Source organism: Homo sapiens, chromosome 22 (assembly GCF_000001405.40).
Source record: "Homo sapiens chromosome 22, GRCh38.p14 Primary Assembly".
Classification (NCBI taxonomy): Eukaryota; Metazoa; Chordata; class Mammalia; order Primates; family Hominidae; genus Homo; species Homo sapiens.
In genome coordinates this window covers 31855413-31880843 of record NC_000022.11, presented here as the reverse complement: position 1 = coordinate 31880843, position 25431 = coordinate 31855413, and the positions used below count along the sequence as shown (strand labels likewise).

The window sequence follows — 25431 nt, the reverse complement described above, 5'->3', positions numbered from 1 at the left end:
ACAGTGTTAGCCAGGATGGTCTCGATCTCCCGACCTTGTGATCTGCCTGCCTCGGCCTCCCAAAGTGCTGGGATTACAGGCATGAGCCATCTAATTTTGTATTTTTAATATAGAGAGGGTTTCACTATGTTGGTCAGGCTGGTCTTGAACTCCTGACCTCAAGTGATCCACCCACCTCAGCCTCCCAAAGTGCTGGGATTACAGGCGTGGGCCACCGTGCCCGGCCTGGATCTAGAAACTTTGATGACGATTAACATCTCCGTTTTACCAGCTAGTAAAGGATTCCAATTAGCTGGGCGATTACAGGCAAACAAAGCAGAACATGGAATTTCCCTGGAGTTTGGTTTATGTTCTATTTGCTTTCTTCCTTTCAGAGGGCTTTCAGGATCCTCCAACTTGCCCTTAAGATAAATCCCATGGTCTTTGCCCAGAGCAGGTATTTTCTAAAGATGTTCACATTTCAACCCATCAGTCAGGTCCTCTAGCTCAGAGTTCCCCATTTCCTATCAGAGGTCATTGCCTTTCAATAAGCAGCTGTTTACCCCCATCTTAGAGCTGCAGGAATGGTGGAAAGGAGGGAAGTGTTTCAGTTTACATCCTTCAATATGGTAAGCACATTTGGGGAGGAAAGGAAGAGGAGAGAGAGAGAGAGACTTTTGCTCTGCATGAGTGTCTGGAATGGATGACCTTTTAGGTTCCTTCCTCTTCTGAGATCATAGGATGCTATGGTTGTAGGGAGGGGCTCCGGCAGGAACTAGCTGGTGCAATGAGCACTATCTCACATCTCCTATATCCTACAGAACCCTCGGGAAAATTGGCCACATATTTCTTCTCTCCTATCCGAACAGGTCTGGCACTATGTTCTGATTTGAGAGGTGCTAAATACCGTCTGTTGGTTGGGACAGTCATAAAACCACTCGGCAAGTGGAAGTCAGCAACGGAGCCAACAGTGCCGACAGACACAGTGGCCTGTGTGACGGCCTCAGCGACTCTAATCCTGGTTCATGTGGCATCGTTCCCTTGGCTGGCCACTACTTTCCCGCAGCCACCCACTGGCACACCCTCAGACCTTGTCTGGGTTGAGCATGTACCTAAAAGTGCTGCCGCCTGGCTCCGTCCTCCAAAACTTCGGCTAAAGGAGCTGTGCCTACTTGCATAGGAGGCTGGCCGGCTAGGCAGCCAGGGCAGGAGAAAGGCAGGAATCTCAGAGTGCACGAGCTCTTCTGCCACAAAGGCCACCTCAAACCACTTGCGCTGGAAGCTGGCGAAGTCGTCCACTCCTGCTGTGTGCCAGGTGGTGGCGGGCTGCTGCATGGCCACTGGGAAAAGTGGAGGGGAGAGAAGGAGTACTCAACACAAATGCTTATTTTCTTCATGATGCATGCTACAACTTGATAAACCTTAAAAACACGCTAAGTAAAAGAAGCCGACACACAAGGCCACATACTGTATAGTTCCATTTATGTGAAACGTAGCAAATAGGCAAATCTTTGAGAAAGAAAGCAGATTATTGGTTGCTGGGGGTGGGAGGAGGAGTTGGAAGGTGACTCCTCAAGGGGATGGGGTTTCATTTCAGGGTGATGAAAATGGTCAGGAACTAGATGGACATGATAGTTGTACAACACTGTGGATGTACTAAATGCACTGAGCTGTTCATTTTTAAATGGTTAATTTTATATCATGTGAATTTCACTTCAATTAAAAATATATATGTATATATATATGTGTATATATATGTATATATATGTGTATATATATATACGTGTGTGTGTGTGTATATATATATATATATATATATATTTTTTTTTTTTTTTGAGACGGAGTCTCGCTCTGTCGCCCAGGCTGGAGTGGTGCGATGGCACGATCTCAGCTTACTGCAACCTCTGCCTCCCAGGTTCAAGTGATTCTCCTACCTCAGCCTCTTGAGTAGCAACATGCGCCACCACGCCCGGCTAATTTTTGTATTTTTAGTAGACGGGATTTCACCATGTTGGCCAGGCTGGTCTCAAACTCCTGACTTCAGGTGATCCACCTGCCTTGGCCTCCCAAAGTGCTGGGATTACAGGCGTGTGTCACCGTACCCGGCCCTAAAAAATATTTTATGCTCAGTTTATTTCTTTTTTTCTCTTAGAGACAGGGTCTGCACAGCTTTGCCAAGTCTTCAGTGCAGTGGTACAACCATGGCTCACTATAGCCTCAACCTCCTGGGCTCAAGCAATCCTCCCATTTCAGCTTCTTGAGTAGCTGTGAAGACCAGCATGTACAACCACACCCAGCCAATTTTTTTTTTTTTTTTCCTGTAGAGATGGGGTTTCGCTATGTTTCTTGCCCAGGCTGATCTTAAACTCCTGGCCTCAAGAGATCCTCATACCTCAGCCTTCCAAGGCGCTGGGATTATAGGCACGAGTCAGCACCACACTTGACCTTATGATCAGTTTCATACCTCAAATTTCAGAATATATAACAGTAACCTGGTATGTTTTCAACTTGAAGGTAAGATAGGTATCTACTGGTCAAATGTATAATTTAAAGGGAAAAGTGTCAATGGATATACAAAAAAATCCCACACACGTCCACTTCTGCCATATTCTTGGACAAGAGAGCATGGGGAGTGGCACTAGCTGCTTCATCTCATGTAAGATTCTTTTTTTTTTTTTTGAGATGGAGTCTCGCTCTGTCACGAAGCTGGAGTGCAGTGGCATGATCTTGGCTCACTGCAACCTCCACATCCCAGGTTCAAGTGATTCTCCTGCCTCAGCCTCCCAAGTAGCTGGGTCTACAGGCGTGCGCCACCACGCCCAGCTAATTTTTGTATTTTTTAGTAGAGATGGGGTTTCACCATGTTGACCAGGATGGTCTCGATCTCTTGACCTCATGATCCACCCACCTCGGCCTCCCAAAGTGCTGAGATTACAGGCGTGAGCCACCGCTCCCGGCCATGTTTGATTCTTTAAACCCAGAGGCAGAGAAGCCATTTGTCTGCAGGATAGGAGTCACTTCCAGAACAGGCAAGGTCCCCTTTTGCTATAGGTGTACTGGAGATGCTGGTCTGGTTTTCTGTTTTTGCTGTTTTTTTTTTTTTTTTTTTTTTTTTGAGATGGAGTCTCGCTCTGTCGCCAGACTGGAAGTGCAGTGGCGTGATCTCATCTTACTGCAACCTCCATCTCCCGGGTTCAAGCAATTCTCCTGCCTCAGCCTCCCGAGTAGCTGGGATTACAGGCGGCCACCACCATGCCCAGCTATTTTTTGTATTTTTGGTAGAGATGGGGTTTCACTGTGTTGGCCAGGCTAGTCTCCAACTCCTGACCTTGTGATCTGCCGGCCTTGGCCTCCCAAAGTGTTGGGATTACAAGCGTGAGCCACTGTGCCCGGCCTGTTTTTTTTTTTTTTTTTTTTTTTTTTTTTTTGAGATGGAGTCTCACTCTGTAGCCCAGGCTAGAGTACAGTGGTGTGATCTTGGCTTACTGCAACCTCTGCCTCCTGGGTTCAAGCGATTCTCCTGTCTCAGCCTCCCGAGTAGCTGGGATTACAGGTGCCTGCCGCCACACCCGGCTAATTTTTTTGTATTTTAGTAGAGGTGGGGTTTCATCGTGTTGCCCAGGCTGGTCTCGAACTCCTGAGCTCAGGCAATCCACCTGCTTCGGCCTCCCAAAGTGCTAGGATTATAGGCGTGAGCCGCAGTGCCCAGCCGGCTGTTGTTTTTGAGACGGAGTTTCACTGTCAACCAGGCTGCAGTACAGCAGCACAATCTCGGCTCACTACAACCTCCGCCTCCCGGATTCAAGCGATTCTCCTGCCTCAGCCTCCCAAGTAGCTGGGATTACATGCATGCACCACCACACCCGGCTAATTTTGTATTTTTAGTAGAGACAGGGTTTCCCAATGTTGGTCTTGAGCTCTTGACGTCAAGTGATCTGCCAGCCTCGGCCTCCCAAAGTGCTGGGATTACAGGTATGAGCCAGCATGCCCGGCAAGATGCTGGTCTGAATCTGGGGTGCCTCCAGTTATGTGAGTCAGCTCTGACCACGCTAAAAAAGTTTTCCCTCTGGGGAATTACTTTTTCCTCATTATTTAAAAAAACCAAACAAAAGAAAAAAAACCCCACAGATACTTAAAATATTACTTGGAAAACTTGCTAGGACTTGATAGTTTCCTGGGGTTAGAAATGGAGCCTGAACTGGAGATCTAGCAAGTGAAAAGTGCTATAAATCACAGACTGGAGCCCATGATAATATAATCAGAACCACCTGGGCTGGGTGGGCAAGGGGGTGGGGCACTCTAATTAAAAACAGCTACCAAAAACTGATGTGTGGGAATTTCCTCACACCAGGTCCCTTGGCCTCTTTTAGCTTTATCTTTCACCCACACTGTTCTCACCAAGAACACACTGTAGCTTAAGAAACCCTTGTCACTCTGGCTATGCTTAAATTAAGTACAAAGGCTCAAGGAAGTTGACAGATCTGTCAACTTATAATACAAAGTCACACATGCAGCTCAGGAAGCACCATCATGTGAAAGAGCAAGTCACCAGGAAAAACACTTGCCCCTGTGGGCAACCGCATTCGCCTCGGCTCTAACCTCGGTCGGGCTCTTTGTCCGTTACTATCTTGTAGAAATAGAAGCCGTAGATGAAGGTCCGCCAGGCTTCGCCAGATGCATGTGTGATGAGCTGCTCTTCCAGCATTTTCTAGGAGAGACATTGAAACTCTGAAATTCCTGCAGAGAGGCATCTTGAAGGGGCAGCCCTCAGTCATGCTCTGGAGACAAGGGAGTGACAGGAGCACTGAGGAGACCCTACCCTCCACCCCCAGATTAGACATGTTGTACTTGATATAAATTATATTTTAAAATGTAAACTCGTATCATCATCAAATATTTCAAACATGCAGAAGGGCATGAAGAAATTCAGATGGCCGGGAGCAGTGGCTCACGCCTGTAACCCCAGCACTTTGGGAGGCTGAGGGGGGTGGATCACTTGAGGCCAGGAGTTCAAGACCAGTCTGGCCAACATGGTGAAATCCCATCTCTACCAAAAATACAAAAATTAGCTGGTATGGTGGTGCATGCCTGTAATCCCAGCTACTCGGGAGGCTGAGGCAGGAGAATCACTTGAACCTAGGAGGTGGAGGTTGCAATGAGCTGAGATTAGCACTACTGCACTCCAGCCTAGGCGACGAAGTGAGACTCTGTCTCAAAAAAAAAAAAAAAAAAAAAAAAATCCACATATGCCACTATTCTACTTTCACAAATTTGACACTTCTCTATACTGATTTCAGATATTCTTATTAAAAAAAAATCTCCTTAGACTCTCCCACTCCCATTACTCTTTCTCTCTCCCCAGAAATAAATGGTTAGTGTAATATTATTCTTAAATAATTTTATTATATAAACACGTATGATAGAGAATATAAGGTATTCTTTCGGGATTCTAAGTTTTTAAATAAAGGGCATAATATTATATCATTTTATAAGTTGGTTTTCCAGTCCACATCATGCTTCTGACATTTATCCATGTTGATACATGTACCTTCAGCTCATTCATTTAAACTGCTGTAGTAGCATTTCATTATTTGAATAAGGAAATCGTATTCTCAGGGAGACGAGAGTGTATACGGCAAAGGCTGTGCAAAACAGCACATCAAGACCCTCAGAGTGAGAACTGAGAATCACATGCTTTTTCAAATCAGTTATCAATTTTAACATTTCCATGATGACAACTCAGCTGGTAAGGAAACAGTACTGACTTCCAGTTGGGGCCTCCGTATAGACAGGATGGCATGAACTGGCTCAGTCAACTGGCCGTTTCCCATTTCCTTGTTATTCCAGTTCTGCCATATTCCAGAGTTCCAGTTCTGAGCAGCGTAATTAAATCCAGCAAGCATGGTGCTAAGTGCCTACCAGGTGCCAAGCAACATGCCTGGCACTGGTGATACAGAAATGGAAAATAAGAGGTGATCCTGCTCTCAAGGAGCTGGTTGAGGCAGGAGACAAATGAGAGAAAGATCTTCATTCTGTTGTGCTAAGAGCTCTGACAGAGTAAGTACAAGGTGACAGAAGGCCCCTGGGTCAGAGCCTTGAATCCAGCATTGAGTCTTGAATAAGCATGCATTGACCAGGGGAAACTGGCGGCTTGAGGTCAGAGGGAGGGCATTCCCCCAAAAATCATAGAGATTTTTCTGAGGTTTATAAATGCACAGATTCTGTCCAAAACATTTCAGTTCAGACAATAAATTCTGCACGGTTTTTAAGTCAAGATACAGTGTATTTCAAAGCAAGACTTGTTCTTTCATCAATTCCAGAAAGGCCTCCCACTTATTAAAAAAAATCCTCACCCCAACCTGCAGATCTCATTACTGGAAAGGGTGATGGCTTCTAAGGCAGGCCCTGATTTTTCGGGACCTAAGCAAACAGCTCTATGGGCCCCTCTTGCTGTCTCACCTGCATGATGTCAATGGCCATCGCCTGTGTCTGGATCCCCTCCACGTGGTTCACCAACCAGTGTACCACCTCCGCGCTGATGAAGCAGTACGGTGAGAGGCCCTTCTGTTCAGAGAGCAGCTGGACTCCTGTCCTGGGTTCCAACACGGTGAACGGGGAGCAGGGGATGTGTGTGCCCCATGGCAACAAGTGGAAGGAAAGATGAAAAAGAAGGGACTCCCACTAGAGCATTTAATACCATAAAGCAATGTCCCTATGCTATTCCTAGACTCAGAGAAACACCCATGAGAGGACAAAAGAAACTGTTACCGGGGGCCCAGCGTGGTCGCTCACGCCTGTAATCCCAGCACTTTGGGAGGCTGAGGCGGGTGGATTACCTGAGGTCAGGAGTTTGAGACCAGCCTGACCAACATGGCGAAACCCCGTCTCTACTAAAAATACAAAAATCAGCTGGGCGTGGTGGCGGGTGCCTGTAATCCCAGCTAGTCAGGAAGCTGAGGTGGGAGAATCACTTGAACCTGGGAGGTGGAGGTTGCAGTGAGCTGAGATCGTGCCACTGTCCTCCAGCCTGGGCAACAGAGTGAGACTCTGTCTCAAAAAAAAAAAAAAAAAAAAAGAAGAAGTTGTTATGGGGAAAAAGGAGAAGGGGGAGAGAAAGGAAAAGATGGGAACTCACATTCGGAGAATACCTATACTTGTCAGGCATCATACTAGGTACCTCACATAATTATTTCATTTAATCTTTACATCAACCCTGTGGCTTAACTACTTTTTAAAAAATCCCTTTTAAAAAAATCCCATCTTGAGGCAGAGGTTGGGTGAGCCAAGATGGCGACACCGCACTCTAGCCTGGGTGACAGAGTGAGACTCTGCCTCAAAAAAAAAAAACAAAAAACAATTCCATCTTACAAACAAGGAAACAGAGGCTCAGAGAGGTCAAGTGACTTGCCCAAGCTCTCAAAACTGGTGAGAAGTACAGTCATGTACAAATCTACCAAACCACGCTGCCTAAACATGGCTGTGGCACAGGCTTCTGGGAACCTTCCAACCCTACACTGTGGTGAGCCACTTACGAGGGGTGCTTCATGGCTTCCAGGATCTCTGTCAGGGTAGAGGATGAGGTCAAGGAGCTTGCCACCAGCTGCTGAGAGCTGTAACACAGGGTGTCAGGTCAGCAAAGCAAGATGGCACGTATGCAGTCAAGAGCACGAATATTAGGAACAGTCTCCACTTCCTATGGAGCCAGAAACCAGGACAATGTTGACACTAAAGGCATTTTAGTAAATTCCAAACAGCTATATCAGGGGGTTATCTCATAGGGGGTTTCCTATTTTAAAATATACACATTTAGGGCCGGGTTTGGTGGCTTACGTCTGTAATCCCAGCACTTTGGGAAGCTGAGGCACGTGGATTATTTGAGGTCAGGAGGTCAAGACCAGCCTGGCAAACATAGTGAAATCCCGTCTCTACTAAAAATACAAAAATTAGCCAGGCATGGTGACGTGCGCCTGTTGTCTCAGCTACTTGGGAGGCTGAGACAAGAGAATCGCTTGAAACTGGGAGGTGGAGGGTGCAGTGAGCTGAGGTCGTGCCACTCATGCACTCCAGCCTAGGCAACAGAGCGAGACTGTCTCAAATAAATAAATAAAATAAAATAAAATAAAATAAAAAATGTCCACATTTAGAATTCAAAGTACTTTTGTGTCCAAACTTGCCCTTAGTAAGCATCTCTCCTTTTAATAATATTCCTCAGGCCCAAGGCCCAACCACTTCCAAGAAACCCCCTGGACTGCTCTGGGTTTGCCCCAAGAGCCTTTCACAGGTAGCTTCATTGAATCCTGACCAGAGTACTAGGTAACACCCTAAGAGCATGGGGAATGGAATCCCAGTATCATCACTAACCTGCTACATAGCTTTTCTTGGCCTCAGCGCCCCCATGTGAAAAATGGGGTTAATGCTGTTCCTGTCTTTGAGGGCTGATGTGAGGCGAATGTTTATACGATGCTGAGCACATGTACAGGGCTGACACACAGGAAGCCCAAAGTGGTAAACAATACTAAAATAATTAACACCGACCCTTTGAAACTGACTAAAGGAACTGCTGAAGGTCAAAGAGCCAGAAGTACCAGGATGTGGATCTGAATCCAGGTCAGTCTCTCTCCAAAGTCCTTTCCACCACCTGCTGCCCACATTCTTGCTCAAAGGTGTGATGGTCCCTTAAAACGTGCTTAATACTCAGCAGCTGAGTGGCCACCCACTATACCGAACTGGGCCAGCTGTGGGGCTTATCCAGAAGCTCCTCAAGTTCTTTGAACTTCTCCCTTTCCTCAGTCCCAGACTACTCTTCATGACTATTCAGAGGGTCCAGAAATCACTGGAAGTGTTTCAGAATTTCAGGGTTAGAAAAAGTTTTCAAAGACCCTTGAAATGAACTTCCTTCTAATGCCTGAGTCTCTGCTGAGACCACGTGTCTGGGCAAGAGGCTGTCCTATCTGTGTGAACATCTTCAATGGCAAAGAACTTGGCACCTCTAAGTGCAGCCCATTTCCGTGCAGCAGGACCCACTGCTAGTAAGTTCTTCATCATGAAATAGAATCTGTTCTCTGTATTTTTCAGTCATTGGTCCTGATTCTACCTGCCATGTCATTTTTGGTCTTTTCACCTCCAGCCTAAATATCCCCGATTCCTCATTTCTTCTGAAAGCAGAAGTAAACCTACTGTTCTACCCTTGTAAGCAATGAGGAAGCAGATTTTTTCTATGCATTGGGCAGCCTCTCCAATCTCCTCCACGCCTACAGCCAAAAAGCCAGGTAGGCTTGATGGGTATAAGGGCATGAGCGAAGGCAGGGAGCAGAGAAGTTCAGACCTGCTCCTGCTTCTGAAATGACCATCACCTCTACTGGCCAGAATGAACAGGCTGCAGTAGATGAGACACAGATTACACCAGCACAGAATTTATGACATAAGGGAAATGGAGTGACTCCTGACAGAGGCCAGCCAGGTGAGCAGCCCCAGAGAACTTTCTGCTCTCAGGGCAGGGGTATAAAAGTTAAGTCTCTTAGATGATTTTGCCAAGGACTGCTTCGTCAATACAGTGAGACAATAAGAAAAGACTGCGGCATAATTACTATAAAGCAAACACAGCTGGGAAGAAAATAAAACGGTTTCTCAGAATTGACAACAGTAGTAAAAGCTGGTGCACTTGCTCGAGCAAATGAAGTACACACAGCTTCCTTTTCCTCCGGATACTAAGGAATAGAAGAAGAACAGTCATGTTTGGCCACAATTAGTGATTCATCCACTGTTTGTTCTTTTCCTTACTGACAGCATGCTATGACGTGCAAGACATTGTGCCACAGGCACCACAGTGAACAAGACAGACTGGACAGAGCCCCCTTCCGGAAGCCCTGTACTCCTGTGTGGTGCCTGACACTTTCCTACATCTCTGTGGGAACCTCTTAGCTATCCTGTGAGGATGGCAGGAAACAGATCATTAGTCCCATCATACAGATGTGGTTAAGGACTAACTTGCCCAGGGTCGCATGTGACTTGTGGCAGAGTCAGAACTCGGCCCAGAGCTTTGGACTTCAGCCTCTGCAGCCTTTGAGATCAGACTGTCCCCACTCCCCAGGAACATGAGTTTGGCCACTCTGAATCTCACCTGCTGTCACTGGAGTTTGTGGAGGAGTAGCCCTGTTCTCCTATGTTCTGGGAGTTCCCAAAGGTCTGGCTGTTGCCTCTGTCCATGGATTGGCCTGTGCATATGCCCAAACTGGTGCCGTCCAACATAGGAGTGGCTGTTTGGTCCACAGATACCTGCAGGAGATTTAAAAATGAATACTTGATTCCAAAAATAACTGACAGGAAAACACAGTAAATAAGCTGTACTGGCTTATTCACTCAGTAAGCATTCACAAAAAATAAACAAAAATTAATGCAATCCTTCCCATTCTGCTCATTCCCACTACCCCTTGGTCCCTAGTGGCACAGCTAAAGTTGTCTAGAGACTCTACCCAGTCTTGTGTGCACTGCCTTCTATCAGAGCAGCTGGGAACTCCCACCCTCCAACCAGGGCAGATGAGAGGCCACTCTTCACAGTAAATCCCCAGGACCAAAGAAATCGCTTCAGCACCTGCCTCAAACCACACGATTTACACTAAAGAAAAATCTCCATAGAAAGAGTGGAGAAGTCAGAATCACTCCTTATGAGGACAGCAGGACTGAAAGACCACATTTAGAGACAAATAGGTGAACATCACAATGTACATCTTCTGCCTACCGTGACTCACCCTTTCCCACCCAAAACCTCCTTTCTTCTACCTTTCAGTTTGCTCAGGTTCAACTCTCAGAGCCATCTGATAGCTCTCTTCTCCAGCTTTGCATCTAAAGACAGGCCTAGTCCCACGGCCTGCCCTCTGCAGATTCACATGCATCTCTAAATCATGCCTGTACTTCCTCTGGCCAGGGAGGGCTGTAACATTCTTCTAAATAGCCCCTGATTGCAGCCTCTCCCTCAAAAACCCTCCCTGTGAGCCAGCTCCATTTGCATCGTCTGTCAAGAACAGTTCCAATCCCATCATTCTGTTACTCTGAAAACTTTCAAGTCTCCCCATGAACCACCACACTGAAAACCGACTCACAGGACATCACGGGTCCTGCACAACATTGGCTTGACCTGAGATCTCACCACACTGCCTACCATTCACCCATGTGTATGTGTCCAGCCAAATGACACCGTGTGTGTATAAATCCTGTCTATGTGCCCCATATCGCCCTGGGGTGCTCTTCTCCACAACTAGTGGCTAAAAACCTATCAGTCTTTTTTTTTTTTTTTTTTTTTAAAGACAGACTCTTGCTCTGTCACCGAGGCTGGAGTGCAGTGGCGCAATCTCGGCTCACTGCAACCTCTGCCTCCTGGGTTCAAGCGATTCTCCTGCCTCAGACTCTCAAGTAGCAGGGATTACAGGTGGGAGCCACCACACCTGGCTAATCCCATCAGTCTTTAGGGCCATTTTAAACGCTGCTCCCTTAGCAAACTGTTCCGATTCAGTCCGCCCGAGGCCTCAAGGAGATCCATCTCCCTCTCTACTCTGGACCTCTATGAGCTTCTGGTAGCTGCCAAGCTGTGCCTCATGTAATGGTGCTGCATCTTTTTTTTTTTTTTTCCAGAGACAGGGTTGCCCTCTTTTGCTCAGGCTGGAGTGCAATGGTGCCATCACATCTCACTGTAACCTCAAACTCTTGGGCTCAAGCAATCCTCCTGTCTCAGCCTTCCAAGTAACTGGGACTACAGGCATGCGCCACCATACCTGACTTTTTTTTGTGTGTAGAGACAGAGTCTAGCTATGTTGCCTCGGCTGATCTCAAACTCCTGGGTTCAACTGATCCTTCCGCCTCAGCCTCCCAAAGTGCTGGGATTACAGCCTGTAATGTTGTTATATCACCTTTAAGGGTCCTGGAGGCAGGATTATAACCTGTTCACCCGGAAGCCCAGCAGCATGCATCAAAGATTATACCCAGAGCAAGTATATGAAGAGAATGACTAAGTCTTTTAGAGCAATTCTGGAAAAGTGTAAGGCTCTTAGAACCTCCTAACTTGAGGTTTTTAGGTACTTCCAGAAGGGATCTTTCTATCAGATATTTTGTTAGCAAAAATTGCTTTCTAAAACAAAGCTTCTCAGCTGGGTGCGGTGGCTCACGCCTGTAATCTTGGCACTTTGGGAGGCGAAGGCGAGTGGATCACTTGAGTCCAGGAGTTCGAGGCCACCCTAGGCAACACGGTGAAACCCCATTTCTACAAAAAATGCAAAAATTAGCCAGGCGTGGTGGCACACGCCTGTAGTCCCAGCTACTTGGGAGAGTGAAGTGAGAAGACTGCTTCACCCGGGAAGCGGAGGTTGCTGTGAGCTGGGATCCTGCCACTGCACTCCAGCCTGGGCGACAGAGAGAGACCCTGTCTCAAAAAAATAAATAAATAAAATGAAGAAAATAAAACAAGGCTTCTCAGTCTCAGCAGTATTGCCCTCTGGGGTCAGATAACTGTTTGCTGTGGGGGGCTGTCCTGTGCATTGCTGGATGTTCAGAAGCATCCCTGGCTTCTACCCACTTGATGCCAGTAATACTATCAGCCCCAACCCCCAATTATGACAAATAAAAATGTCTCCAGATATTACCAAATGTCCCTTGGGGGGTAAAGTTCCTCCTGGTTCTCATAGAACCATTTTGCTGTTCTATAGCAGGCTCAATGATTTGTTAAAAAAATAACAATAATAATAAAAAGGACCACACAGGTTTTGCTGGCACCATAAACACACAGAGAAATGCAGCAAGAGACAGCTTGCAATTACCAATTACCACCTGCCTCTAACCAGTAAGGTTTACCATGCTGTAAATTTAAATGAGACCATGCCGTAAATTTAAATGAGAATAAGCTAACTAAAGGGGACTAGAACCAGCTCTTATGCATATAAGAGTGGCTCTTAGGCATTGCCTTCTGGGCCCCTGTAGTGGGGTTCTCTCATGTACTATAACAAGAATTGCTCTACCAGCCTAACGTGAAGGCCATTACCAGAAATGCACATTAGTCCTGCAGTCCTATTTTGGTGGGAGCCGGGGTAGGGGGTGGTTAAAGAGTTGTCCTCTGGATCAGGAATTGGGAAACATTTTTTGCAAGAGACCAGAGAGTAAATATTTCAGGCTTTGTGGGCCATAGGGTCTCTGTCACAACTACTCAACTTTGAGTAAGAAAGTGAGAAAGCAGCCACAGGCAATATGTAAATGAATGGGTGTGGCTCTATTACAATAAAACTTCATTTACAAAAGCAGATGGTAGACCAGATCTGCCCTATAGTTTCCTGACCTCTGCTCTATCTATGTATCACACAATGTGTATCTTTTAAGAGGCTGCACAGAAAAGGCATTTTGTTTAGATCCTAATACCAGGAAAAGGTATGCTTCTCCCAAGGAATCTGGTTGTCTTTATTTTATAACCACTATGAGTCTTGGAACAGAGGTTTCCCACTTTTCTTTGGCTACCAGGAGGTTCAGAGCTGAATTTGGCACAAAATTCTATCTACTTTACAAGGCCTTATATTACATCCTGTCTTATTTTTTTTCTTTACCTGAATTTCCCCCATCTAGTCATGTTTTTATTTTAGGGGTTGCATTTACTTCCATGATCCACATGAAATAACTTTTTGGAATAAGATCAGTGGTGAACAAAGATAAATAGCAGGTAGGATGGAGAGAATGGCAGATGTCGCACGTAGATTCCTGGCAAAGAGCCAAGTAAAGGGAGATGCCTTTCATCTTAAGAATCTTATGAACCTTGTCCGAAAAAAGGACTCCACTGAACATATGTAGATACTCCCCCCTCCGCTTTAGAGTGGGCTAGACTTAGTGATGTGCCTCCAATAAATGGAGTATAAAAAAGGAAAACATAGTAACTTCATAGTAGAGATGGCTAACAAATATGACATTAACCAAGTGATGAAGGAGTGATGAAGATTATCGTCGCCAGTGATGTTGTGTGGATCTCAGGTACCTACTGATGTGATGTGATGAGAAGGGCACTTCCCCTCTGGGGTATTCTTTTTGAGTATCTGTAACTCCAGTCTAACCATGAAAAAAAACCTCGGACAAACCCAGATTTGGGGACATTCTACAGGACACCTGGCCAGGACTCCTCAAGGCTGTGAAGGTCATTTTAAAAAGTAAGGAAAGGGCTGGGCGCGGTGGCTCACACCTGTAATCGCAGCACTTTGGGAGGCCGAGGTGGGCGGATCACAAGGTCAGGAGATGGAGACCATCCTGGCCAACATGGTGAAACCCTGTCTCTACTAAAAATACAAAGATTAGCTGGGCATGGCAGCGTGTGCCTGTAATCCCAGCTACTTGGGAGGCTGAGGCAGGAGAATCGCTTGAACTCGGGAGGCGGAGGTTGCAGTGAGCTGAGATCACGCCACTGCATTCCAGCCTGGCGACAGAGCGAGACTGTCTCAAAAAAGAAAGAAAAATGTAAGGAAAGCCTGAGAAACAGTCACAGATTAGAAGAGACTGGGAAGCCAGGCAATGTGGTACCCAAGATTGGATCCTAGAATAGAAAGAAGACATTAATTGAAAAAAATGGCAAAATCCAAGTCTGGCGTTTGATTAAAAAAAAACCAAACCTCTCAGCAGCAGCACCAATCCCCAATTTCCCCCCACTTTCTGGCACTCCCAAGCTACAGGAGAAAGTAAGGGAGGGAACCCTGTTAGAGATGCCTCTGAGATTAGCACCACCCACCACAGGCATCCCCCATGGGTCTTCTACCTTCCACCTCGTGGGCTTGTCACAGCCCCACTTTCTCATGCTGGTGGGTCATCAGCTACAAGGAAACAGCTGGATCTGCCAGCCCAGCTCTCCACTGTGCCTGGAGGCTGGTAGAGATGACACTCCCCTTTGTCTTACCCGGAGACAAATGGGCTAAGTGGGCTCCTGCTTTCCAGTCACTCAGCTCCTGCCACGCAGACAGAGGCATTGCAAAGGGATCCACAACAGAATCCCATATGCCTTGCAGAGAGGGAAAGCTTGGGAATAACTTGCAGACCCACAGCTCAGATGTTCTCCAAGGTTAAGATTAGGGAAGGGGAATATTATCCCAAATTAAAACCTTCTCTCTGCCCTCATGAAGCTTGCCATCTAGCGGTGAGCAAAGACAGGCATTAATATTCATAAAGGATTTTATTCATCCCTGTTATTTCCCACAACACTTGGCACAGCCCTACACCCAGCAGGTGCTTGGAATTTGCTATCTCAATTGATATGAATTTTGTCACAGAGGCAGCCTCCTTCCTCTATGTGTCCATCCTAACCCCTCGCTCCAAATGGTTATATATATATGTTTTGTTTTGTTTTGTTTTGTTTTGTTTTGAGACAGGTCTTGCTCTGTCGCCCGGGCTGGAGTGCAGTAGCACAATCATGGTCACTGTCCCCACCTCAACCTCCCAGACTCAAGCACTCCTCCCTCTTCAGTCTCTCAAATAACTGAGACCGCAGGCATGCACCACGACACCCAGCTAATTTATTTTTATTTTTTGTAAAGACAAGGTCTCACTGTGTTGCCCAGGCTGATTTCAAACTCCTGGACTAATAGGGATCTTCCTGCCTCCACCTCTCAAAGTGCTGGGATTACATGCGTGGGCTGCTGCGCCTGGCGTTACTTATATTTTTACATCTTACATCATTCCAAAAAAGGTGAGGCTACTAATAAACAGACATACAATAAGATAAAAAAAATACGGCTGGGTGCGGTGGCTTACGCCTGTAATCCCAGCACTTTGGGAGGCCGAGGCGGGTAGATCACCTGAGGTCAGGAGTTCGAGACCAGCGTGGCCAACATAGCAAAACCCCGTCTCTACTAAAACTACAAAATTAGGCCAAGCGCGATGGCTCACTTCTGTAATCCCAGCACTTTGGGAGGCCAAGGCGGGTGGATCACTTGAGGTCAGGAGTTGGAGACCAGCCTGGCCAGCATGGTGAAACCCCATCTCTACTAAAAATACAAAAAAAATATCTGGCTGTGGTGGCAGATGCCTGTAGTCCTAGCTACCTGGGAGGCTGAGGCAGAAGAATCACTTGAACCCAGGAGGCGGAGGTTACAGTGGGCTGAGATCGCACCACTGCATTTGAGCCTGGGCAACAGAGCAAGACTCCATCTCAAAAAAAAGTGAGATCCCAGTACTTTGGCCTCCCAAAGTGCTGGGATTATAGGCTTGAGCCACCACGCATGACTGAGAAATGGATATTATTTCTAATCCTCAGAACAACCCTACAAAGAAATTATTTTTTATTTCCTTTTACAAATGAAGAAATACACACAGTAAATAAATAAATATATAAATATATATATATATATATATATATTTTAATGAAGAAACAGGTTCAGAAGGTTAATTCATGTGCCTAACACAGCTCCCTAACATTGCACAGAGGTCAAGATTTGAAAGCAGCCATCTGGGCCAGGTGTGGTGGTGGCTCCTGCCTGTAATCCCAGCACTTTGGGAGGCTGAGGCAGGTGGATCACCTGAGGTTAGGAGTTCGAGAGCAGCCTAACATGGTGAAACCCCATTTCTACTAAAAATACAAAAAATTAGCCGGGCATGGTGGTGCATGCCTGTAATCCCAACTACTAGGGAGGCTGGGGCAGGACAATCACTTGAACCCGGGAGGCAGAGGTTGCAGTGAGCAGAGACTGCGCCATTGTACTCCAGCCTGGGCAACAAGAATGAAATTCCATCTCAAAAAAAAAAAAAAGAAAGCATCCAACTGACTCCATTGGCCTCCCTCCTCCATTCTATGCTGCACATCAGAAAATACACAAAGCAAGTTTTATGTTGTGTATTTTACCACAGTAAATAATAAATAAACATAAGGTACAATTTAATTTTGTGTATGTATAATGAGCTCTTACTACTTCTGATATAATTTTTTTTTGTTTTTTTTCAGATGGAGTCTCACTCTGTTGCCCAGGCTGGAGTGCAGTGGCACAATCTCGGCTCACTGCAACCTCTGCTTCCTAGGTTCAAGCAATTCTCCTCCCTCACCCTCTCAAGTAACTGGGACTACAGGCGCACGCCACGAGCCCGGTCTAATTTTTGTATTTTTATTAGAGATGGGGTTTCACCATATTGACCAGGTTGGTCTCGAACTCCTGACCTCAAGTGATCTGTCTGCCTTGGCCTCCTAATATAATTTTTTTATGTATATATTTTTAAAAAATTACAGACAGGGTTTTACGATATTGTCCAGGCTGGTCTTATTCTCCTGGGCTCAAGTGATCTTCCCACCTCACTTCCTGCCTTTTCAACAAAACACCTGGTGGGTAATATAATCCTTATTTGTGTGCCTCTCCTGAGTCTAAAACTTTCCATAACAGTCTCCTATAAGAATGTAAAAGGTGGCCAGGCACAATGGCTCACGCCTGTAATCCTAGCACTTTCAGAGGCCAAGGTGGGCGTATCACCTGAGGTCAGGAGTTCAAGACCAGCCTGGCCAACATGGCGAAACCCCTTCTCTACTAATAATACAAAAGTTAGCCGGGCGTTGTGGTGCACACCTGTAATCCTAGCTACTGGGGAGGCTGAGGCAAGAGAAATGCTTGAACCTTCGAGGTGGAGGTGGCAGTGAGCTGACATTGAACCACTGCACTCCAGCCTGGGCAGCTAGAGTGAAACTCTGTCTCAACACAAAAACAAAAAACCACAAAGTAAAAGGTTAATGGCCAGACACAGTGGCTCATGCCTGTAATCCCAGTGCTTTGGGAGGCCAAGGCAGGAGAATCACTTGACACCAGGAGTTGACCAGCCTGGGCAACATAGCAAGACCCTACCTCTAAAAAAATAAAAAATTAGCTGTGTATGGTGGTTCATACCTATACTCCCAGCTACTTGGGACGCTGAGGCTGGACTCCAGCCTGGACAACCGAGTAAGATACTACCTCTAAAAAAAAGAAAGTAAAAGGTGAAAAGGATCAACCAATGTTTGTTTTAAACCAAAAACACAGTGTGCTACCCACACTCAGATTTTAGAGATGCTTAGATTAGGACTCAAAGGTCCTTACAGGGATTTGCCTATGGTTACACAGCTCACTGGGAAGAGGCAGGTGGGGATATCCGAAGACCTACACAGAAAGGCATGGTACCTCTGACCTGTTCCAATGTTAACTAAACCCTTACCCTCCCAGTGCAGTGGGCAGAATGATATAAGAGCTCAGTCACTCACTAGCTATATGCCCACTAACCAGCTAACAACTTTTTCTTTTCTCATTTTAAAAAATTCTATTTTGTTATTATTATTTTTTTTGAGATGGACTCTGGCTCTGTCGCCAGGCTGGAGTGCAGTGGTGCAATTTTGGCTCACTGCAACCTCTGCCTCCTGGGTTCAAGCGATTCTCCTGCCTCAGCCTCCTGAGTAGCTGGGATTACCAGCATGTGCCACCATGCCCGACTACTTTTTGCAATTTTAGTAGAGATGGGGTTTTGCCATGTTGGCCCAGCTGGTCTCAAACTCCTGACCTCAAGTGATCCTCCTGTCTTGGCCTCCCAAAGTGCTAGGATTACAGGCGTGAGCCACTGTGCCTGGCCTCGTCCAAATCTTTTATTTTTATTTATTTATTTATTTATTGAGATGGAGTTTCGCTCTTGTTGCCCAGGCTGGAGTGCAATGGCACGATCTCGGCTCACTGCAACCTCCACCTCCCAGGTTCAAGCAATTCTCCTGCCTCAGCCTCCCGAGTAGCTGGGATTACAGGCATGCACCACCACGCCCAGCTAATTTTTTGTATTTTTAGTAGAGATGGGGTTTCTCCATGTTGAGGCTGGTCTCAAACTGAACTCCTGACCTCAGGTGATCTGCCCGCCTCGGCCTCCCAAAGTGCTGGGATTACAGGCGTGAGCCACCGCACCCGGCTCATCCAAATCTTTTAACTGACAAATAATTTAAGTGAAATCCAGAAGCTAGGTGAGCTACACCTTTGGCCTATGCATTAGCACATGCCTATGAATAAATATTTGCTGTGTTTTTTCACCACTTCCTGCCACACTGTTATAAATTTATCTGGTTGTATTGGGAGGGGAAAAAAATAAGTGTTCAGCCCTTAACTAAGCATATTTCATGTTGCTCATAAAACCTAAAAGTGAAGATGCTGCAAAGTGGCAGAGAATCAGTGACAACTATGTGAAACAGACAGTGATGAGAAACACTTGAGTCATCACTGGTACAATCATATGTTCTTCTACATTAACCTCTTCCATCCCCCCCTTCGCCGCCACAAACAACATGGAAGAGAATGTACAATTCTGAGACCAAATTCAAGTTCAACTGCCCCCCAAACTTAGTTGCAGCCCAATTCCATGTGTTCAGAGCCTAACAGAAGGCCAGCTCATGGCGTCTGCCAGTGGGACAGGCATGCGAAGCCCTGGAGTTGGACTAACCTGAGGGTAGAAGGCGGACGATGCTGTGCGTGGGCTGCGGACAAACTCCATAAAGAAGGCCCCGTCCTGAAGTCACAGGAGGAGGAAGCAGCAGCAGCAGTTGCAAGGAAGCGAAGAAACGGAATGTGTACCAGTGGTTAACCATCAGGGGAAGGAGACAGGTATAAAAAACAAAAAATAAAAATAAAAACAAGGAGGGAAGGAGAGAAACAAGGACATATGAAGAGGATAGGGAAAATTAAAAAAAAAAAAAAAGAGAGAGAGAGAGAGAGCGCCACCCAGAAAGACAATATCCAAATGCGAAGCATTAGCAGAAACTCACACCTTCCTGGGCAGAATATCCCATCTGTGTGGGAGAAAGCACCCAGGTTGGAAGGTGTGTCCAAGCTCTCTCAGGTCTCATCAGAGTGTGGCTTGGATGCTCTCACCCTCCCACATAGCTCTGAAATTCCTTCAGACCTATGCCAAGGAAGATGAAAAGGCCGCAGAGCAGCTTGGTGGGGCTGCAGGGTAAGGGCTTTGGTGGCAACATCCTGGCCTCCCACCTGGCTGGGTGACCAGTCGCCCTCTTGGAGAGATACATTGAGCCAGGAGGTTTTTTCTGCCTGTTACTAAACATGGGCAGCCAGATGGGAGGAGAGGATTCAAGGCAGGGTAAGTTCTTGCTTAGTTTTTTTTTAGCAAACAGGGGATACAGAAGCAGCCATACCTTCTCCTCCACTGGTTGTGTAACAAAATCATCAGCAAGCTAAGACATATATAATGTCAGATACACAAGCACTCACATTGTGAGGGGCTTTCTAAAGCTGTCATTCCCTCCCTACCCTACCCTTGTGGAATTCAAGCAGCCATGTCTGTGAAACAAAAATGACACGGAGGACTTTTTCAATGACCCCTCCTTCCATCATTCTTAAGTAGTACCCTCTTTCCTTTCGGAATCTTTTTACTTTTTATGTCTGGTTATCATAGAAATTCAGGAATGGCACTTGACACATCTCAAGTTCTCTGCTTTTCTGGAACTTTTCCTCAATTCCAAAGGTAGAATAACTGAAATATTTGGGTGCCCATTTTATTGATACTGCTGCCACTTCCCGTAAGTGACTGCAAACTCCAATACGAAACCTTGGAAACTTGTGGCTGCGGAGATGCTGATGCAGGTACCCCCAACGCATTCTAACATGAAGTGTTCCTTGGGGAAACAGTTGGGCATTTCTGAGCATGTCAGCAGGGCTCTCTGCTTTGGCCATCTCATAGCATTTTGTTTCCCCTGACTATTCAGGAGTTTACTTCCAGCCCTACTGATGGGTCATGCATGTGGATTTTAGCGTTCACCTGGACAATCAGGAGAGGGTTCTAAACAGCAATCTAATATATTTGCGACTATAATTTCTCTGCTTTTCAGTCATGTCCTCAGCACTGTTTCTGACCCTCAAAGATGGCAATGAGTAGAGGCAAAACCTGGTGGACAGCACACAGGGTAATTTTATCTCATTGTTCCACTGTGTCCCTTCTAACTGCCAGAACATATAGAAGCAGAGGTGCTGATGGTGTTGAGGTTTATGTACATGTGAAGGAGTTCAGGTGAAAAGACTCATGGTCAGCAGATCATTCCTTACACACAGACTGTCCTTGGTACCTAATGCCACTCCCTAGAGCAGCAGTTGGTAAACTACAGCTTGCAGGCCAAATCTGGCCAGCCCTCTGATTTTTTTACAGCCAGTGAGCTAAGAATGGTTTTTACGGCTGCGCATGGTGGCTCACGCCTGTAATCCCAGCACTTTGGGAGGCTGAGGTGGGTGGATCACTTGAGGTCAGGAGTTTGGGACCAACCTGGCCAACACGGTGAAACCCTGTCTCTACTAAAAATAAAAAAAATTAGCTGGCCATGGTGGTGCACGCCTGTAATCCCAGCTACTGGGGAGGCTGAGGCAGGAGAATTGCTTGAACCCGGGAGGCTGAGGTTGCAGTTGCAGTGAGCCAAGACTGTGCCACTGCACTTCAGCCTGGGTGACAGAGCAAGACTGTCTCAAAAAAAAAAAAAAAAGCCGGGCGCAGTGGCTCACGCCTGTAATCCCAACACTTTGGGAGACAGAGGCAGGCGGATCACGAGGTCAGGAGATCAAGACCATCCTGGCTAACACAGTGAAACCTTGTTTCTACTAAAAAATACAAAAAATTAGCTGGGCGTGGTGGCGGGCGCCTGTAGTCCCAGCTACTTGGGAGGCTGAGGCAGGAGAATGGCGTGAACCCAGGAGGCAAAGCTTGCAGTGAGCCGAGATCGCGCCACTGCACTCCAGCCTGGGCAACAGAGTGAGACTCCGTCTCAAAAAAAAAAAAAAAAAAAAAAAAAAAAACAAAGGAATGGTTTTTACAACTTTAAATAGTTATGGAAATACTATACTTACACAATAGCTTTGCTTTGCCTCTTGGCCACAAAGTCTAAAATATGTATTTAGGTTTGCCAACGTTTGGTTTACAAGTTGCCCACAGCCTTGGCTGATACTTCTTCTCAGATTTTTATCCCTCTACCCATGTAGTGTAATTACAGTATTTATGCTAAGGAATTATCAGTGGTGTGGTCAAATGATTATTCCAAGCATATTCACTGCAACATTATAACTGTGGTATACTGTAGAATAATTCTTAAAGTTTATAGAAAAATACCAAAAATCATTTAAAAATCACCATCTACAATTTTAACCAAAAGAAGTTATAAATTAAGGCATATTCATATGATAAAATGATATATAGCTATTTTTTTCTTTGGGGTTGCTTAGGGGAAAAAAAACGAAAGAAAAAAGTATATAATTATTTTTAAAAATCATGCTTTTGTAAAACATTTAATGACATGAGAAATTTTCATGATATGGAGGTAAAATAAACACAGATATACCATTTGACCACAATTTTGAAAAATAACATATATGTATTGAATCTCCTTCATCTCCCAGTGATAGGGACAAGAGAGAGGTAAGTACAGTCAGCTTGTCCTATCACAACAGAATGATCTGAATCTGAATTTCCCAGAAGGAGCTGACAGAGCCAAGTCTATTGGTCTTAAAAGACCCATGGAGTTTTTGGCTTCTTTATTGTACTTGTTCCTGATAGAGGCCTAAAGTCTCAGGTTTTCTGTATTTTCCCCCCACCCCAGGATACTCCCATTTGACTGTATTTCTCAGCAGTCTGAGAAAACTGATGGGAATTTCATTATCAAAGAAGAGCGAGCTCTGGTGGAAGCTACTTCAGTAGCTTTCTATTCCCCTCTGGGAAAGCTAAAGATGAGGGTGAAGGAAAACCAGACGGCCAAATACAAAGCTCAGGCCAGATCTTGGGCATTGAACCAAAGAGGTTTAGCTTAACTGTTGTATTTTATTTTTTTGAGGCAGGGTCTCACTGCGTCACCCAAGGCTGGAGCGCAGTCGTGTGATCATGGCTCACTTCAACCTCAACCTCCTGGGCTCTAGGGATCCCCTCACCTCAGCCTTCTGAGTAGCTGAGACTACAGGTACACACCACCACATCTAGCTAATTTTATTTTTAATTTTTTTAAGAAATGGTGTCTCCTTATGTTGCGTATGCTGGTCTCAAACTCCTGGGCTCAAGTGATCCTCCAGCCTCGGCCTCCCAAAGTGCTGGGATTACAAGCATGACTGACCGTTTTATATCCGGATTTAACTAGAAGTTAGCTTCCTTACAACTGTGAATAAGAAAGTCCCTATATAAAAGTAGTAACAGTAATAGAACCTTTAAAGGGTTCAGGGTAGAATTCATCCAAAGCCTCTGCACATGCAATCCCGGATCTGAAGGGCGATCTGTTTTACCCTCCACACTGAGTCTCTGAGAGCACAGAACAGCTCCCTGCTACCGCGGCTTCCTTTACCTTTCGTGGGCTGTCCATGTAGGTGGGAGTCATGGCAACGCTGCTGCTCTCGGCTGACTGGGCGGAGCTCTTCCCACCATGCACAGCTGCCTGCTGTTCTCCCAGGCACCTGAAAGGAGGAAAAGCACATGACAGCAGCTTGCTCAGAGCTCCCTGGTGAAGGATCCATGTCGGCCAAGATGCAGACAGCTCTGTTGCTGTCATCTTTGAAACACACACTTCTGCCTTGTTTCCCTTTCCAGACCTTCATGATACCCTTAATTTCATTCATTGTGCTGAACAATCACCAGTCCTCCACAGTAAATCAGAAAATAGCCCAACTTTAAAAGCATTCTGGCAGCATCTGGTGCTTATATATGACCTTAAAAAGGGGACTGACATGGTTTGAGTGACTGTCTGTGAACACCATTTTTAAAATTCTTGTAAAAGTACTTTTTTCTCAATTTTTATTTAATATACCAGCAAAAGCACATTCTGAATGTTAAGACTGTGTGGTGGCTCATGCCTGTAAACCCCGCACTTTGGTAAGCCAAGGTGGGTGGATCATCTGAGGTCAGGGGTTTGAGACCAGCCTGGTCAACATGGTGAAACCCCATCTCTACTAAAAATACAAAAAATTAGCCCGGTGTGGCAGTGCACGCCTACAGTCGCAGCTACTCGGGAGGCTAAGGCACGAGAATCACTTGAACTCAGGAGGCAGAGGTCGCAGTGAGCTGAGATGGTGCCACTGCACTCCAGCCTGTGCGACAAAACAAACAAACAAACAAACAAACAAACAAAAAACTGCATTAACATGCAGCATAAAACAGGAGAAGATGTGTTAATTCTCTATACATTTTGAAGGGATTTATAGGTTAATCTTTCAAATGTACATAGCTACATCACCCTCCAAACCAAACTAACAGACATTATCTCATAACGCAAGACAAATACAGTATCCTTACGACATCTCACCCCATCTCGGTTCTGATGTACATGAATGAATATTTTCATGTTTATTTTCCTAATTTTTTTCTGTTCTAAAATTAACTACACTTTATTTTAGATTAAATTATGTTGCTTTAATATATCACTGTTTTATTGTTAGGTTTCAGAAGGCTCACACTGAAGTCTTAAGTGCTTCATTATTACTATAATATATATTACTTCTTGTGATGGACAGTGCGAGGCAGGTCCCAGCCCCCTCCACCATGGCCTTGTTGTTGTCCCAGCACTGAGAGGGCTGTCTAGGAGGCTCTGTCTCAGTTGTTGGCCCCTTCAGGGACAGCCCCAGCTGCATGGGCTGCCATAGGCAATGAAGTGTGTGTGTGTGTGTGTGTGTCATAGGCAATGAAGTGTGTGTGTGTGTGTCATAGGCAATGAAGTGTGTGTGTGTGTGTGTGTGTGTGTGTGTGTGTGCGCGTTGGCCCAACTCAGCACATCTCTGAGGGCTGTTCCAGTGGGATCTCCTGAGGCTGTCACTGGGTCTGGGCTGTAGTCCAGCTTCTCTTGGCACCCACTCCGGTTTCTTCCCCATCTCTCCCACAGGTGTTGTGCCCAAGGGCTCTCCTTAATAAGCATCCTATATGCTACACCCCATCTCAGTCCGCTTCCCTGAGAACCCAATTTGCAACACTTTTCTTATCTTAAATTCTGACACTTTTGTTACTCAATGAGAAGTAATCACATACCAGGGATGCAAAAATATGTTTCCATAGTAACCTGTTGCACTCTCCCTTAAATTTTTTTTTTTACATTCTGAAAAAATACAAACATATACAAAAGTAAAGAGGACAATATAATGAACCCCTACATATCCCTTACCAAAATTATATCATTAGAGCCATTCCGGTTTCATCCATACACCCTGCCTACCCACATGAAATATTTTGAAGTTGGCCAGGCGCAGTGGCTCACGCCTGTAATCCCAGCACTTTGGGAGGCCGAGGCAGGCGGATCACGAGGTCAAGAGATCGAGACCATCCTGGCTAACACAGTGAAACCCCGTCTCTACTAAAAATACAAAAAAAATTAGCCGGGCGTTGTGGCGGGCGCCTGTAGTCCCAACTACTTGGGAGGCTGAGGCAGGAGAATGGCGTGAACCTGGGAAGCGGCACTTGCAATGAGCCGATATCGCGCCACTGCACTCCAGCCTGGGCGAC

General features: G+C 45.8%; 1 protein-coding gene across 37 annotated transcripts in view, besides 1 other annotated feature; it reads right to left on the bottom strand.

Annotated features, from left to right (window-relative positions):
• The window catches only part of DEPDC5 (DEP domain containing 5, GATOR1 subcomplex subunit), a 154066-nt gene that overhangs the window by 27190 nt on the left and 101445 nt on the right, over positions 1–25431 (bottom strand). For 16 of the 37 annotated variants that reach the window (XR_007067997.1, NM_001364318.2, NM_001136029.4 and 13 more), the window contains 7 exons: positions 23291–23399; positions 19411–19476; positions 10100–10254; positions 7512–7589; positions 6439–6571; positions 4579–4687; positions 1092–1319 (listed from right to left, as the gene is read on the bottom strand). Coding sequence is in view for 31 of the 37 variants with exons in the window: in NM_001364318.2 (NP_001351247.1) it covers positions 1092–1319; positions 4579–4687; positions 6439–6571; positions 7512–7589; positions 10100–10254; positions 19411–19476; positions 23291–23399 (878 nt within the window). In the remaining 6 variants the exon portion in view is untranslated. Of the gene's footprint in view, positions 1–1091; positions 1320–4578; positions 4758–6438; positions 6572–7511; positions 7673–10099; positions 10255–19410; positions 19477–23290; positions 23400–25431 lie in introns of those variants that run through there. The other 21 variants (NR_157125.2, NM_014662.6, XM_047441627.1 and 18 more) reach the window with 9 other exon arrangements.
• Positions 8207–8501: a silencer, noted in NCBI's record as "tiled region #5531; HepG2 Repressive non-DNase unmatched - State 13:Ctcf". NCBI's record gives its function as "represses a minimal TATA promoter and a strong SV40 promoter by Sharpr-MPRA in HepG2 cells {active_cell/tissue: HepG2}" and the evidence as "EXISTENCE:reporter gene assay evidence [ECO:0000049][PMID:27701403]".